Genomic DNA, 18505 nt, shown 5'->3' on the forward strand with positions numbered 1-18505 from the left:
AAAGCTTTCAACTTTTCCCCATTGAGTGTAATAATATTATCTATGAGTTTAGCATATATAGCCTTTTTATGTTGAGGTATTTTCCTTTTATACCTAATTTGTTTGGAATTGTTATCATGAAGATATGTTGAATTTTATCAAATGCTTTTATTGTATCTATTCTGATAATTATGTGGTTTTGTTACTCATTCCCTTAATGTAGTGTATTACATTTAGTGATTTGTATATAGAGAGAGCCATCACACCCTAGGCATTTCTTTGATGGGTGACTTTTTATTACGAATTCAATCTTTTTACTCGCAATTATTGATATGTTCAGATTTTCTCTTTCTTCAAAATTAAATCTTGGTAAGTTGTATTTCTATAAGAACTTATGCATTTCTTCAAGGTTGTCCAATTTGTGGCATATAAGTACTCATAATAATCTCTTATGTTCCTTTTTATTACTGTGGTATTGGTTGTAATGTTTTTCCTTTCATTTCTGATTTCTAAATTTGATTTTCCTTTTTTTTCCAGTCCAGATAAAGGTTTGTAGACTTTATTTATCTTAAAAATAAACTCAGTGACATTGATCTTTTCTGTTTTTTTTAAATTTCTGTGTCATTTATTTCTGCTCAGATCTTTATTATTTCCTTTCTTATACTAAATTTCTGATGAATGTAATATTAGGCTATTTAAGTGAAATCTTTTTTGAAGTACATTCTTACTACTGTAAACTTTCCTGTTAGAACCGCTTTTGCTGCATCCCTTAAGATTTGGCATGTTGTGTGTTTATGTTTGTGTGTCTGAAGATATTTTTAAATTTCCCTTTTAATTTCTTCTTACCTATTGGTTGTTCAGGAGCATGTTTTTAAAATTTCCATGTATTTGTGAATTTTCCAAAATTCATCCTCGTATTAATTAGTAGTTCCATTGTTGTTGGAAACAATACTTGATATGATTTCTATTTTAAAAAATCTGTTTAGACATGTTTTGCAGCCTAACAGGTGATCTAACCTGGAGAATATTCCATGTGCATTTGAGGAGAATATGTACTCTGCTGCTATCGGTGGGGATATTCTGTATATGTCTTTTAGGTTCTAATGGTATCAAGTGTAGTTTAAGTTTAATGTTTTCTCAATCATTTTCTGACTGGACAATCTGTCTATTGCTGAAAGTGGGTTATTGAATCCTCTACTATTATTGCATTATACTCTAGCTCTTCCTTCTTATCTGTTAATGTTTACTTTATATATTTATGTGTTCCAATGTTGGGTACATACATACTTAGAAGTGATATACTCTCTTGATGAATTCACTCTCATATCATCATATATTTTTTCTCTTTAAGTTTTAAACTTAAAGTATTTTTAATCTGATATAAATATAGCTGAGGGGGTGAAGATGGCTGATTAGAAGTAGCTGTGGTCTGTAGCACTCATGAAGAGGAACGAAAGGGGTGAGTTAATACAGCATCTGCAACTGAAGTATCTTGGTACTTACATTGGGACTGATCAGGAAAACAACTGAACCCACAGAGATTGAAGAAAAGTTGAATGGGGTGATGGCCCACCGGGGAGCCACCTGGAGCCAAGGGAACCCCAAACCCCAGCCAAGGGAAGCGGTGAGTGATTGTGTTGGCCTCCGGTAACCATGCTTCTCCTGCAGATCTTTGCACCTATGGATCAGGAGATCCCCTTGTTAGTCCATGCCACCAGGGCCTTAGGTCCAACACACAGAGTTGTGTAGAGTTTTGGCAGAGCTGCTGCTTAGGCACACATAGAAACCCAGGAGCTTTACATCCTTTGGCCTAGGGATCCCCAACAAACATGTCTGCAACTCAGGCAAGGTGAGAGGTCCACACATACCAGTAGGAAGGAGGCTGAATACAGGAAGCGAAGCAGCATGGTTCTGAGAGCCCCACTTGCACAGCACCTGACAATATAAGAGCTACTGGCTTGGAATTCCAACCATCCACCAGCAACAGGTTGGAGCCTGCCTGAGATTGGATGGAACCCCTGGGTTGGGGGTCAGACCACCATCTCCTCTGTTTGGTTTACTCAGACATTCCAGACTGTGGGCTTTGGAGACTCCAAGTGATTCGGATTAGGAAGGGTTCCTCCAGAGCAGCACATCTGCTTTGCCAGGTCATGGCCAGACTGCTTCTTTAAGTGGGACCCTGATCCATTCCTCCTCACTGGGTGAAAACTTCCGGGAGGGCCCTCCAGGAAGTATTCTACACGTATTCTACAGATAGAGCTCTGATCTCTCCCTGGGATGCAGTGCCCAGGAGAGGGAAGCACCACCGCCTTGGCTGATTGAATGACTTAGCCATTCCAATCTGTGGATTTTGGGGACTCCTAGCTGATGGGGCAAAGGTGGTTATTCAGAACAACATTGTTGTCTTATCAAGGTCTGGCCAGACTGTTTCTTTAAGTGAGACACAGATTCACTACTTCTCATGGGGCAGGTTCTCCCAGCAAGGGCTTCAAGTCACCCTTTTCAATATTCTATGGCCTACAGAGCTCTACATTCTCCCTGGGTTGGATTGCCTGGGGCGTGGGGCAGGCTGCCACTTGGCTGCTCTGGCTTCTCATCCAGTCAAGCCTGTGGGCCTTGGAGAGCCCAAACAGATTGGGGGCAGAAGAGATCCCCAACACAGTAGAGCTACTCTACCAAAAAAGCAGCCAAACTTCTTCTCTAAGTGAATCCCTAATACTGTTCCCCTGACTGGGTGAGACCTCCCAATCACGGTTTCAAGCCACCTCCTACAGGAGCACAGGGGCCAGCAACAAATCAGTACCACCCTGGGATGAAGCATCCAGAGGAAGGGGTGAGCTGCCATCTTTGCTGTTTCACAAGCTTCACTGCTGATATCTCCAGGTACAGGAAAAACTGGGCAACTAGGGTCTGGAGCAAGCCCCCAGCAAACAGCAGCAGCTTTACAGAGGTGAGGCCAGATTGTTAAAAGAAAAACAGATAAACAGGAAACAACAACAACATCAACAAAACAATCCAACAAAAACCCATTCAAAGGGCAGCAACTTCAAAGATTGAAGGGAGATAAGCCCTCAAAGATGAGAAAGAATCAATGGAAAAATGCTGAAAACTGAAAAAGCCAGAGTGCCCCTTTTTTCTCCAAATGATTGCAACAGCCCTCCAAGCAAGAGCTCAGAATTGAACTGAGGCTGAGATGGCTGAAATAACATAAGTAGGTTTTAGAATGTGGATAAAAACGAACTTTGCTGAGCTAAAGGAACATTTTGTAACTGAAGGCAAAGAAGCTAAGAATCATGATATAACAATAGAGAAGCTGAGAGCCAAAATTGTTAGTTTAGAGAGACAAAACCAACCAACCTGATAGAGCTGAGAAACACATTACAAGAATTTCACTATGCAATCACAAGTATTAATAGCATAATAGGCCAATAATAGGGGAAAGATTCTCAGAGCTTGAAGACTGTCTTTCTGAAATAAGACAGATATACAAGAATAGAGAAAAAAAAATTAAAATGAATGAACCAAATCTCTAAGAAATATGGAATTATGTAAAGAAACAGAGCCTATGACTAATTGGAGTACCTGAAAAGGATGGAGAGAGTGGAACCTATTTGGAAAACGTACTTCAGGATATAATCCAGGAGAACTTCTTTAACCTAACAATAAAGGCCAACATTCAAATTCAGGAAATGCAGAGGACCCCAGTAAGATACTCCACTTGAAGATCTCTCACAAGACAAATAGTCATCAGATTCTACAAGGTCAAAATGAAAGACAAAATGTTAAGGGAAGCCAGAGAGAAAGGCCAGGACACCTACAAAGGAAAGCCCATCAGACTAACAGCGAACATCTCAGCAAAAACTCAACAAGTCAGAAGAGATTGGGGGTCAGTATTCAACATTCTAAAGAAAAGAATTTTCAACCCAATTTTCATATCTTGGGAAACTAAGCTTCATATGTGAAGGAGAAATAAGATCCTTTTCAGACAAACAAATCCTGAGAGAATTAATTACCACCAGACCTGCCATGAAAGAGTTCCTGGAGGAAGCAGTAAATACCGGAAGGCAGGGGGGTGCAGCAGGGAAATATCATTATCAACCACTACAAAAAACACACTGAAGTACACGGACTGGTATCATTATAAAGCAGCTACATAAACAAGTCTGCAAAATAACCAGCTAGCATCATGATGACTAGATCAAATACACACTTAACAATACTAACCTTAAATGTAAATTGGCTAAATGTCCCAATTAAAAGACACAGAATGACAATTGGGATAAAGAACTAAGATCTATTGCTATACTGTCTTCAAGAGACCCGCCTCACATGCCAAGAAACACATGGGCTCAAAATAAATGGATGGAGGAAAATTTACCAAGCAAATGGAAAACAGAGAAAAGCAGGGGTTGCAATCCTGGTTTCTGAAAAAACAGACTTCAAACCAGCAAAGATCACAAAAAGATAAAGAAGGGTATTACATAATGGTAAAGTATTCAATTCAACAATAACATCTAACGATCCTAAATATATATGCACCCAATACAGTAGCACCCAGATTCATAAATCAACTTCTTAGAGACCTTCAAAGAAAATTAGTCTCCCACACAATAATAGTGGGAGACTTTTATACTCTGCTGACAATATTAGACAAATCATGGAGAAAGAAAATTAACAATGACATTCAGGACCTGAACTCAGCTCTAGATCAAGGGGACCTGATAGATATATACAGAACTCTCCACCCCACAGCAAAATAATATACATTATTTTCTTTCCCTCATGGCACTTACTCTAAAATTGATCACATCATTGGAAAGTAAAACACTACTCAGCAAATGCAAAATACCTGAAATAATAACAGTTTCTTGGATCACAGCACAATCAGATTAGAACTCAAGATTAAGAAATTCACTTAAAATCATACAACTGCATGGAAATTGAACAACTTACTACTGAATGACATTTGCGTAAATAATGAAATTAAGGCAGAAATCAAGAAGTTATTTGAAACTAATGAGAACAAAGATACAATATACCAGAATCTCTGGGACATGGCTAAAGCAGTATTAAGAGGGAAATTTATAACACTAAATGTCCACATCAAAAAGCTAGAAAGATCTCAAATAGACAACCTAAGATCACAACTAAAAGAACTAGAGAACCAAGAGCAAACAAACCCCAAAGCTAACAGAAGACAAGAAATAACCAAGATTAGACCTAAACCGAAGTAGACAGAAACACAAAAAACCATCAAAACAGCAATAAATCCAGAAGGTGGTTTTTCAAAAAATTAAAAAAAAAATAGACCAGTAGCTAGAAGAATAAAGAAGAAAAGAGGGAAGATTCAAATAAACACAATAGAAATGATAAGGGGATATTACCACTCACCCTACAGAAATACAAACAACCATCAGAAAATACTATTAACACCTCTATGCACGCAAACTAGAAAATATAAAAGAAATGGATAAATTCCTGGACACATACACCCTCCCAAGACTGAATCAGGAAGAAATGGAATCCCTGAATAAACTAATACTGAGTTCAGATAATGAGGCTGTAAAATAGCCTACCAACCAAAAAAAGCTCAGGACCAGACAGAGTCACAGCTGAATTCTACCAGAGGTACAAATAAGAGCTCATGCCATTTCTACTGAAACTATTTCAAAAAATTGAAAAGGAGGGACTTCTCCTTAACTCATTTTATGAGTCCAGCATCATCCTGATGAAGAAAAAACCTGCCAGAGATACAACAACAGAAAAAAGAAAACTTCAGGCCAATACCTTTGATTAACATCGATGCAAAAATCCTCAACAAAATACTAACAAATTGAATCCAGCAGCACATCAAAAAGCTTATCCACCAGGATCAAGTAGGCTTCGTCTCCAGGATGCAAGTTTGGTTCAACATATGCAAATCAATAAATGTGATTAATCACATAAACAGAGCTAAAGAGAAAAACCACATGATTATTTCAATGGATGCAGAGAATGTTTTTATAAAATTCAACATCCCTTCATGTTAAAAACTTTCAATAAACTAGATATTGAAGGAATATACTTCAAACTAATAGCCGTATATAAAAACCCCATAGCTAATATCATACAGAATGGGCAAAAGCTGGAAGTATTCTCCTTGGAAACCTGCACAAGAAAAGGATGCCCTCTCTCACCACTCTTACTCAACATGATATTGGAAGTTCTGGCAAGAGCAATCAGACAGGAGAAGAAAATAAATGGTATTCAAATAGAAAGAGAGGAAATCAACTATCTTTTTTTGCTGATGACATATTATAGCTAGAAAATCCCATCATTTCTGGCCCAAAATTCTTAAGCTCATAAGCAATTTCAGCATTCTCAGGATACAAAATCAATGTGCAAAAATTGCTAGCATTGGCTAGGCATGGTGGCTCACATCTGTAATCCCAGCATTTTGGGAGGCTGAGGTGGGAGGATTACCTGAGGTCAGGAGTTCGAGACCAGCCCGGCCAACAAGGTGAAACCCTGTCTCTCCTAAAAAAAATACAAAAATTAGCTGGGTGTGGTGGCACACACTTGTAATCCCAGCTATTCAGGAGACTGAGGCAGGAGAATTGCTTGAGCCCAGGAGGCAGAGGTTGCAGTGAGCCAAGATTGTGCCACTGCACTCCAGCCTGGCAGACAGAGTGAGACTCTGTCTCAAAAAAAAAAAAAAAAAAAAAAAATTGCTAGCATTTCTATACACCAACAACAGGCAAGCAGAGAGCGAAAGCATGAATGAACTCTCATTCACAATTGCCAAACACACACACATACATGCACACACACACATGCACACACACACAAATACCAAGTAATACAGCTAAGAAGGGAAGTGGAGGACCTCTACAAGGAGAATAACAAACAACTGCTAAAATAAATTAGAAATGACACAAACAAATGGGAAAACATTCCATGCTCATGAATAAGAAGAATCAATATTGTGAAAAGATCATACTGCCCAAAGCAATTTAGAGATTCAACGCTATTCCCATTAAACTACCATTGACATTCTTCACAGAATTAGAAGAACCTATTTTAAAATTTATAAGGAACCAAAAAAGAACCTGAATAGCCAAGACAATCCTAAGTAAAAAGAACAAAGCTAGCAGCATCACATCAGCCATTTCCTAACTACACTACAGGGCTACAGTAACCAAAACAATTAGTACTGGTACAAGAACAGACAATAGACCGATGGAACAAAATAGAAAACCCAGAAATAAGACCACACACCTACAATCATCTGATCTCCAAAAATCCTGAAAAAAAAAAACAGCAAACAATAGGGAAAGGATTCCCTGCTAAATAAATGGTACTGGGAGAACTGACTAGCCATATGCAAAAAAATTGAAACTGGACCCCTTCTTTACACCGTATACAAATATCAACTCAAGATGGATTAAAGACTTAAATGTAAAATCAAAAAGTATAAAAAACCTAGAGAAAATCTAGGCAATACCATTCAGGACATAGTCACAGGGAAAGATGAGAAATTATGAGAAAAATGCCAAAAGCAATGGAAAACCAAAGCAAAATTGACAAATGGAATCTAATTAAATTAAAGAACTTCTGCACAGCAAAAGTAACTATCAATAGAGTTAACAGACAACCTACAGAATGAGAGAGAATTTTAGCAATCTATCCATCTAAAAAAGGTCTAATATCCAGCATGTATAAGGAACTTAAACAAATTTACAAGAAAAAAACAGTCCCATTAAAAAGTGGGAACAGAACATGAACAGACACTTTTCAAAAGAAGACATATATGTGACCAGCAAAGATATGGAAAAAAGCTCAGCATCACTGAATATTAGATAAATGCAAATCAAAACCAAAATCAGATACCATCTCACACCACTTACAATGGCTATGATAAAAAGTCAAAAAACAACAGACATTAGCAAGGTTGTGGGGGAACAAGCCAACAAACAACTTTTACACTGTTGGTGGAAGTAGAAATTAGTTCAACCATTATGGAAGACAGTGTGGCAGTTCCTCAAAGACACAGAGGCAGAAGTATCATTTTACCAGCAATCCCAATACTGAGTATATACCCAAAGGAATATAAATTATTCTGTTTTAAAGATACATGCACATATATGTTCATTGCAGCACTATTTACAATAGGAAAGACAGAATCAACCTAAATCCCCATCAGTGATAGACTGGATGAAGAAAATTTTGTACATAAACAGGATGCAATACTATACAGCAATGAAAAGGACCAAGGTTATGTTTCTTGCAGAGACATGGATGCAGCTGGAAGCCATTATCCTCAACACACTAACACAGAAACAGAAAAACAAATGCCACGAGTTATCGCTTATAAGTGGGAGATGAATGATGAGAACAGATGGACACATAAGGAGTGTTTTCATACTGATACAAACATACTATTGGAGATTGGGTAATTTATAAAGAAAGAAGGTTTGACTCACAGTTCTGCATGGCTGAGAGGTTTCAGGAAACCTCTCAGTTTCCTTCCAATCATGGTGGAAGGTGAAGGAGAAGCATGGCACTTCTGACCATGTTGCCAGGAAGGAGAAAGAGTGCATGGGAAATGCCAGACCCTTATCAAACAACTAGGTCTTGTGAGAACTCTCTGGCTATGATGAGGAGAGCATGGGGGAAAATGCCTCTATGACACAATTACCTCCCACTACATGTCTTCGTTAACATGTGGGGTTACAATTCAAGATGCGATGAGATTCAGCTAGGGACACACAGCCAAACCATATCATTCTGCCTCTTGCCTCTCCCATATATCGGTGTGTGTTTGTTTTTAACATTTGAAAACCTATTATGCCTTCCCAACAGTTCCTCAGATTCTTAACTCATTCCAGCATTAACTGATATTTAATAAAAGTCCAAGTTTAAAGTATCATCAGAGACAAGGCGAGTCATTTTCCACTATGATCCTGTAAAATCAAAAACAAGTTAGTTACTTGCAAGATACAATGGAGCTATAGGCATTGGGTAAATGTTCCTGCTCCAAATGGGAGAAATTGGCCAAAAAGAGGAACAACAGGCCCTATTCAAGTCTGAAACCTGACTGGGTAGTCATTATAACTTAAAGCTCCAAAATCTCCTTTGACCTCATTTCTCACATTCAGGGCATGTTGATTCAAGGGACGAGCTCCCACAGCCTTGGGAAGCTCCACCCCTGTGGCTCTGCAGAGTAAATCCCCATTGGCTGTTTTCAGGGGCTGGTGTTGAGTTCCTATGACTTTTTCAGGTGCTCAGGGCATGCTGTAGATGAATCTACCATTCTGAGATCTGGAGGACAGTGGCCGTCTTCTCACAGCTCCACTACTCAGTGCCCCAATGAGGACTCTGTGTGGGGGATCCAACCCTATATTTTCCTTCTGCACTTCCCTAACAGAGGTTCTCTGTGAGGGCTCTGACCCTGCAACAAATTTCTACCTGGACATCCAGTCATTTCCATACATCCTGTGACATCAAGGCAGAGGCTATGGAATCTCAACTCTTGTCTTCTGAGCACCTGAAGGCCCAATATCACATGGAAGCCACCAAGGGTTGAGGCTTGCACCCTCTGAAGCAATGGCCTAAGCTGTACCATGGGCCTTTTTAGCCAAGGCTAGAGTTTGATTAGCCGGGATGCAGGGCAACAAGTCCTGCACAGAGAATTGGGGCCCTGGGTCCAGTCCACAAAGCCATTTTTCCTTCGTAGGCCTCCGGGCCTGTGATGGGAGGGGCTGCCATGAAGGTCTCTGACATGCCCTGGAGACATTTCCCCCACCATCTTGGCTAATAGCATTCAGCTCCTCATTTCTTATGTGAATCTCTGCAGCTAGCTTGAATTTCTCCCCAGAATATGGGTTTTTCTTTTCTACCACATGGTCAGCCTGCAAATTTTCCAATCCTTTATGCTCTGCTTCTTTTTAAATATAAGTTCCAATTTTAAACCATCTCTTTGTGAATGCATGCAACTGAACACTTTTAGAATAAGCCAGGTCACATCTTGCAAGCTTCGCTGCTTAGAAATGTCTTTCATCAGATAACTCAAATTATCTCTCTCAAGTTTAAAGTTTCACAGATCTCTAGAGGGGGGTAAAATGCTAAAGCGTAGAATGAGTGACCTTTTCTTTAGTTCCCAATAAGTTCCTCATCTTCTTCTGAGACCACCTCAGCCCGGACTTCATTGTCCCTATTACTAACAGCATTTTGGTTACAATCATTCAAGAAATTTCTAGGATGCTCCGAAATTTCAAACATTTTCCTGTCTTCTTCTAAGCCCTCCAAACTGTTCCAACCTCTTTTCATTACCAAGTTCCAAAGTCACTTCCACATATCCATGTTATCTTTATAGGTGTACCCCACACTTGGTACCAGTTCTCTGTATTAGTCTACTTTCATTCTACCTTAAAGATACTACCCGAGACTGGGTAATTTATAAAAAAGAAAGTCTTATTGACTCACAGTTTCAAATGGCTGGGAGGCCTCAGGAAACTTACAATCATGACAGAAGGCAAAGGGGAAGCAAGGCACATCTTACATGGTGGCGAGAGAAAGTATTTGAAGGGGAAATGTGAAACAGTAATCCAACAACTAGGTCTCATGAGAACATCCTCACTATCATGAGAACAGCATGGGGAAAACTGCCCCTAGGATCTAATCACCTCCCACCGGGTCCTACCCTTGACAGGTGTGGATTACAATTTGAGATGAGATTTGGGTGGGGACACAGAGCCAAACATTATGGGGGGAAACAACACACAATGTGGGGCCTGTCAGAGATGGGGAGTTGGAGGAGGGAGAGCATCAGGAAGAATAGCTAATGGATACTGGGCTTAATGCCTAGGTGATGGAATGATCTGTGCAGCAAACCACGGTGGCACAGCTTTACCTATGTAACAAACCTGCACATCCTACACATGTGTGCCTGAACTTAAAAGTTGAAAATACAAAAAAAAAAAAAATAGCTACTCTTGCTGTCTTTTGGTTTCATTTGCATAAAATATCTGTTTTTCATTCTTTCACTTTCATTCTTCATGTGTCCTAAATGTAAAGTGAGTCTCTTAGGAACAGCATATATTTGAGCCCTCTTTTTTTATTTTAATTATCTTTTTTTATTTTAAAAAGGCTTTTTTAATAAAAAGTGTTGAAATTAAGTCCCTATTACAACGAAAAATAAACTTTGTATTATATTTCTATTTAGGTTTGAATTATATTCATGAAGTACTAAGAAAAATTGTGCTCACAAAATCAACTAAGTAAATAAATAAATATACAACTTAGATAAATACACATACCAAAAATATATAATGTTTGAAACAATGGGAATGCACAATGATTCCTCTGTGCTACAATTTTACCAAAATGATTTTGAGGTGGGAAGATTAAGCTGGCTTATCCAGGAGGTTTCTCACTGCAATCACATGTATCCTCATAAACGCAAAGCACAGGCAGAATTGGACATACATGGAGGAGAAGTTAATGTGAAGACAGAACATAGAGAGATTTGAAGATCCTGGCCTGGAAGATTAGCATGAAGCCAAAGAATGCCTGTGGACACCAGAAACTGGAAAAAGCATGCAATGAATTTCTCTCATAAACCATCAGAAAGATGGCAGCCCCGCTGTGACTTGCTCTTAGAAAAAATATATGTGATTGCAAAGATTTTACAATATAAGGTAACACTCATGGTTCCAGGTGGAAGTATGTAAGACATCTTTACTGGAGTCATTTTTTACCCTACCACACAGTTCATAATATGCAGGGTAGTGTCACCTTTCTTGCTGTTAGTGGTAATCCAAAATTTCACATATTAGTACAGATGTTTTGTCTTTCTGTCAGACAAAGAAACTATAAATATAATATAAATATATTATTTTTACATCACTGTCAATCATTCTGTATGCACTTTGAAAGTTTTGTAGACTGGCTTCTCTTTAAATGAGGGGATAGTGAAGAGTTATATAATGCAAATATAATATTAATGTCTCTTAATAGTTTTCTCTTTAATTTGCATGTGGTCACAAGGCAGATGGTATGAGCACAATACTCCCTATTATAGAAAGCATTCTACAAAATGATAAATTTATTTTAAAAATTATGAGAATGAATGCATCTTTATAAATATTATACTCTCTACTCTTTAATCTCCATGCCATACAAAACACAATAATGTTATGTTATATCTTACTCAAATCCATTCTTTTTTCAGTTGAATTTTTAATTCTCAGTGATTAATATTTATTCTCTTTGGCTGCTATATTTGATCTTTAAAATTGTATTTGAATACATTTCAGTTACTTTTGAAGTTAGTATTCAGAAGACCAAAAGCCAGTGAAAAAGTTTTTCTCATTGGTTGCACAATACCAAATCCAGTAACTCTTTAACTTTTCATTTCTGTAGGGTTCCATCTAGGATATAGATGGGAGGAAAAGGCTATTTCACTTTATTTGTCCAAGTTAAGGCTTGTCTGTCGTTGAGTAAACTCTGTGAACTATGTTCTAGGCTGAAACAACCCTAGAGTGCTGTTTCTTGATGCATGTTTAGCCATTGGAATGAGCAAAAATTCCCTGGAGTGTGCTAATGCAGAGTATTTATTTTTTATTTTCCTTATTTTTTTGTGGTTTATTTAGACCTAAATGTTTTGTGCTCACAAAAGACACAATTTTGTGACATTTTAAAAGTCTGTATCTTTTAGGAATGTAAGACGGGAGTTAATACAATTTCCTAAACACGTTTGACATGGTGATCAATTGATTAATAAATGTTTGAAGCAGGTTTAATATAGAAGTTCCCAAAAATAAAGAAACTCTTTTATGGCATAAGGCTGCACCTCTCACAATGGGTCATGATACTGACCTAGAGAAGACTGAAGAATATAAGTTATTCCATGAATACTGCTTATCTTTCTTTGAAAAAGAAAACTTGGAGTGATGTATCATCCTCACTTTCAAATATGGCAAAAAAAATTACTCCTAAGTATAGCATTATTGTGAAAGAAAGATTTATTTATTGAAGATCACAATAAGACTTGTGAATTCATATATAAGACCTAAAATTTCTAGAGTTCTATGATTAATAGTAATATATTTAAGTAAATAAGTGATAATTTGATAGAGAAAAGTCCATAAGCTTTAGAGTGATATATTTTTTCAATTTATAATAATTTGATACTCCTTCACACTATTTAATCCATCTGCAAGTTTTTCACATCTCAGTTCATGGTAACTCAAGCCATACAGATGCTCAGGCTGATAAACACAGAATTATTCTTGATGTCCTTTCACAACACATTAAAATGCTGCCTGCAATCTATGCACAATCTGACCATGTTTCACCACCTCGCCTGATCAAAGTCAAACAAACGCTTCTGTTTTTACCCAGAGTCTTGATTTTTCTATGTTTGCCTTTTTGTCAACTGTACATTAGTAGACTAATCCATTTAAATATCAGTTTGATAATTTCCATCCTCCGTTGAAATCTTATCGTGGATCCCCTTTCTCAATAAAAATGAAGTCCTTAAAATGACCAAAAATTATCTACTTATCTGGCTTCCTGAAAACACTGAGGTAATATATCCTACTGCTCTGCCAGTTGAACACAACCCTTAAGCCACATAACTTCTATAGAGTTTCTCCAACATTTCGGAGAAGTGTAACCCTTATTCTAGTTGTACTCTGCCAGGAATGCAATTCTCCAAAATAAATGCTAAACCGTCTATCCCAGAGCTTTCAAATCTGCTTTGTTATTTTTTAAATACATTCACCAGGGAGGCTTATGCTGAACTGCCTGTTTATAGCTAAACCTGATTCCTGCTTCTGTCTTCCAACTGGGAAGTAAATATTGAAATATGAATCAATATCTTATTATTTTTAAAGGCTGAATAATATGCCATGCAGTTACATATAATGTTTTTATCCATTCATCCGTTGATAGGCATTTGGTTTGTTTTCATCTTTTGGCTATTGTGAACATTGGTTTTGGAAGTTGTATACACATGTGTTTGCTTGAGTATGTGTATTCAATTTGGGGGGTTGCATATCTCAAAGTGGAATTGCTGGGTCGTATGTAATTATCTGTTTACTTTTTTTGAAAATAACTCCTTTTTGCTTTCTTAATGGCTAAACAATTTTACATTCCCAGCTATAATGTACAAAGTTTGTAATTTCTCTGCATTCTTGCCAACACTTGTTAAATTCTGGGCTTTTGTACGTTTATTTATGTTTTATTAATTACAATGATGCTAGCGGGTGTAGAGTGGTATCTAAATGCAGTTTTGATTTGCATTTCTTTAATGACTAATAACCATAAGCATTTTTTCAAATGTTTGGTGGTTACCTGTTGTGTTAGTCCATTTTCACACTACTATAAAGAAATACATGAGAGTGAGTAATTTATAAAGGAAAGAGGTTTAATTGATTCACAGTTCCATCTGGCTGGGGAGGCTTCAGGAAACTTAGAATCATGGCAGAAGGCAAAGGGGTGGCAAGAGAGAGAAGTACAAACAAGGGAAATGCCAGACACTTATAAAACCATCAGATCTCGTGAGAACTCACTCGCTATCATGAGAACAACATGCGGGAACCACTCCATGATCTGATTGTCTCCCACCAGAACCCCCCCTAGACACATGGGGATTATGGGGATTACAATTCAAAATGAGATTTTGGTGAGGACACACCCAAACCATATCACTTGTGTATCTTATTAGGAGAAATGGATATATTGTGGATATTAGACCTTTAAACATTTGAAATATTTTCACCTATTCTGTAGGTTATCTTTTCATTTTCTTGATAATGCCCTTCAATGCCCACAACTTTTTTATTTTTATTAGTTCTATTTCTCTCTCTCTTTCTTGCTCTCTCTCACTCTCTCTCTCTCTTATCTTGTACTTTTTGTCTCATATCTAAATATCTACTGCACCATCCAAGGTCCTGATTATTTAACCCTTGGTTTTGCTAAGGTTTTTTGTTTGTTTGTTTGTTTGTTTGTTTTTACAGTTTTAGGTCTAACATTTATATTAACCTATTTTGAGTTTTTTTTTCCGTGTGTGTGTGTGTGTGTGTGTGTTTATGATATCAGGTAGTGGTCCAAAGTTATTCATTTTTTTACGTGCAGATTTCTTTTTAGTTCCAGCACAATTTGCTAATGAGAATATTTCTTCTCCGTTGAATGGTCTTGGCATCCTGTGGAAAACTGACCGTAGATGCACTATTTTATTTCCAGGCTATTGCTTCTATTCGTTCATCTATCTATACTTATGCGAGTACCACACTGGTTTGATCACTGTAGGTTTGTAGCAAGTTTTGAAATAAGGAAGTATAAGTATTCCGAATTTGTCATTCATTTTCTAGGTTATTTTAGTTGTTTGGGGCCCTTGAATTCCATATGAATTTGAGGATTGTTTTTTCCATTTCTACCCAAAATAAGCTATTGGAATTTTGGTAGGAATTTATTGGTCTGTAGATTTTTATGGGTAGTATGACCTTTTTAACAATGCTAAGACTTTCACTTCATAAGCTGTCTCTTCATTTATTTAGATATTTAATTTCTTTCAGGCATGTTTTGTAGGTTTTAGTGTGCAATTCTTTTACCTTCCTACATATATTTATCCATAGGTATTTTGTTCTTTTTATGCTACTGTTAATGGAATTGCTTTCTTAATTTCTTTTTTGGATTTTTCATTGCAGGTATATAGAAACACTGCTGATTTTTGTGTATTGATCTTATACCATGCCACATTGCTGATGCTGAATTTGTTTATCATCTCTAGTGGCTCTCTTGTATGTTAATTCGAATTTTCTATATAGAGAAATGTGCCATCTGTGAACAGAATAGTTTTTTATCTTCCTCTTCAGTTTGTAGGACTTTGATTTATTTTTCTTTTGAAAATGCTGTGGCTAGAAATTACAGTACAATGTTAAATAGCAGAGTTGTAAGGCAACATCCCTGTGTTGTTTCAAATAACTTTTTCTTTGTTTTAAGAAACACGGTTTGCTCACTCTGTCACTCAGGCTGGAGTGCAGTGGCACAATTATAGTTTACTGTAGCCTCAAACTCCTGGGCTCAAGCAATACTCCCGTTTAAGCCTCCTGAGTAACTGAGACTACAAGCATGCAACACCATGCCTGAATAATATTTTAAAATACTTTTTGTAGACACATGGTCTCACCATGTTGCCCAGGATGGTTTTAAACTCCTGGACTCAAGTGATGCCCCCACCTTGGCCCTAGCACTGGGATTACAAGCATGAGCCATTGTGCTAGGCCTTCAAATAACTTATTATTTGATATTTTATTAATATTTCTTCAATTAATTTATATTTATTTTAATTTATTAAGGATTATATGTGTGACAAAATATACTACAATTTTATGTTATGTACTTATTTTTAATCTGAATTATGTTTTAGTTGAAGTGGACCATACTTGAAGTGCTATTCTAGAATCCTCTAATATCATGCTATTTGTATTGTTGGTTTTTCACTCAGGCAACACATTCTCAGTCAAAAATGAAAACATTGTAAGAATCGCCCTATTATTTCTTAAATATTGAATTTGAGTTAAAGATCTTTCTACAAAGAAACAGAGACAGACAGAGCCAATTGTAGAATCCACTAACACTGAAAAAAAAACTGATGAAATTCTATGCCACCTCCTCCAGAAAATAGAATAGATTGAAATGCCTCTCAAATTACTGTGTATATCAGTATTACGATAGTACCAAAAGCAGGCAAATGTATTACAAGACAAGCAAACTAATATATAATATTCCCCAGAAAATGAATGAACAGATTTTTAACAAAATTTAGGAAATCAATTACAACAGTATATAAAACATGAGGTTTATGCCAGAAATGCAAGTTGGTTTAGCATTTAAAGATAAGTCAATTTAATACAATATATTAATAGATTAGAAGTGAAAAAACATTAAATTTTCTCAATAGAAGCAGGAAAACCATGTGAAAATACCAACATACGTTCCGGGTAATAACCGTCACCGAATTAGAAACAGTTGGGAATTCCCCCATATTGATCAATGTCATTCTGAGAAACTTAATAGTGACATAATTTTTAATGGTGCAGCTATTAATGCATCTCCTTCCACCCATCTAAGGGTAGGGAAAAAAAAACAAGGCTGACTCTCTGACCACTTCTCCTTAATATTGTCTAGTTTGTTTGTTTGTTTTGCTGTTTTCAAATTTTATTTTAGGTTTAGGGAGTAAATGTACAGGTTTGTTACATGGGTAGATTTCATGTTGCTAGGATTTGATACGCAAATCATTGTGTCACCCAGGTAATGAGTATAGTATTCAATAAATAGTTGTTTTAACTCCCACCCTCCTCTCAACCTCCCCACTCAAGTAGGCCCTAGTTTCTATTGTTTCCGTCTTTATGTCCATGTGTACTCAACACTTAGCTCCCGTTTATAAGTGAGAGCATGTAGTATTTGATTTTCTGTCTCTGTGTTAATTCACTTAGGATAATAGCCTCCAGAGCCATCCATGTTGCTGCAAATTACATGATTTTATTTTATTTTTAATGGCTGAGTAGTATACCATGCTGTATATGTACTACACTTCCTTTATCCAGTCCGTCTTTGATGGGCATCTAGATTGACTCCATGACTGTGCTACTGTGAGGAGTGCTGCAATGAATATAATGAATGCATATGTCTTTTGGTTAGAATGATTTATATTCCTTTGGATGTATACCCAGTAATGGGATTTCTGAGTCAAATGGTATTTCCATTTTAAGTTCTTTGACAAATCTACAAATTTACATTCATATCAGCAGTGTATAAGCATTCCCTTTTATCCATAACCTCACTAACATATGATTTGTTTTGTTTCTTTACTTTTTAATAATAGCCATTATGACTGGTATGACACGGTATCTCATTGTGGTTTTTATGTACGCCTCTCTAATTATTAATGGTCTTGAGCATCTTTTTCATATGCTTGTTGGCCATGTGTATGTATTTTTTTGAGAAGTGTCTGTTCATATCCTTGCTCTTTTTTCAACAGGTTCATTTAATTTTTGCTTGCTAATTTGTTCATGTTTCTTATAGATTCTGGATATTAGACTTCTTTAAGATGTATCATTTGCAAATATTTTCTCCTTTTTTTCTGTGCTTGTTTTTCTCTTTCTTTCTCTTTTTCTTCCTCTCTCTCTCTCTCTCTTTTTCCCTTTCTTTTGAGGCAGAGTCTTGCTCTGTCACCCGGACTGGAGTGCAGCGCCACCACGCCCAGCTAATTTTTTTGTATTTTTAGTAGAGATGGGGTTTCACCATGTTGGTCAGGCTGATCTCGAACTCCTGACCTCAGGTGATCCACCCACCTCAGCCTCCCAAAATTCTAGAATTACAGGCATCATTTTCTTTGATATTTTCTTTTTCTGTGCAGAAGCTCTTTGGTTTAATCGGGTCCCACTTGTCTATTTTTGTTTTTGTTGCAACTGTTTTTGGGGACTTCATTGTAAAATCTTTGTCAATACTTATGTTCAGAATGGTATTTCCTAGGTTT

The 18505-nt window shown here is 37.0% G+C and overlaps 2 annotated features.

Annotated features, from left to right (window-relative positions):
* Positions 1347-1848: an enhancer, noted in NCBI's record as "H3K27ac hESC enhancer chr7:119067491-119067992 (GRCh37/hg19 assembly coordinates)". NCBI's record gives its function as "activates a minimal SCP1, AML or CMV promoter by ChIP-STARR-seq in primed H9 embryonic stem cells {active_cell/tissue: H9 hESC(primed)}" and the evidence as "EXISTENCE:reporter gene assay evidence [ECO:0000049][PMID:30033119]".
* Positions 1849-2348: an enhancer, noted in NCBI's record as "H3K27ac hESC enhancer chr7:119067993-119068492 (GRCh37/hg19 assembly coordinates)". NCBI's record gives its function as "activates a minimal SCP1, AML or CMV promoter by ChIP-STARR-seq in primed H9 embryonic stem cells {active_cell/tissue: H9 hESC(primed)}" and the evidence as "EXISTENCE:reporter gene assay evidence [ECO:0000049][PMID:30033119]".

The sequence above is a fragment of the Homo sapiens genome, chromosome 7, assembly GCF_000001405.40.
Source record: "Homo sapiens chromosome 7, GRCh38.p14 Primary Assembly".
Lineage (NCBI taxonomy): Eukaryota > Metazoa > Chordata > Mammalia > Primates > Hominidae > Homo > Homo sapiens.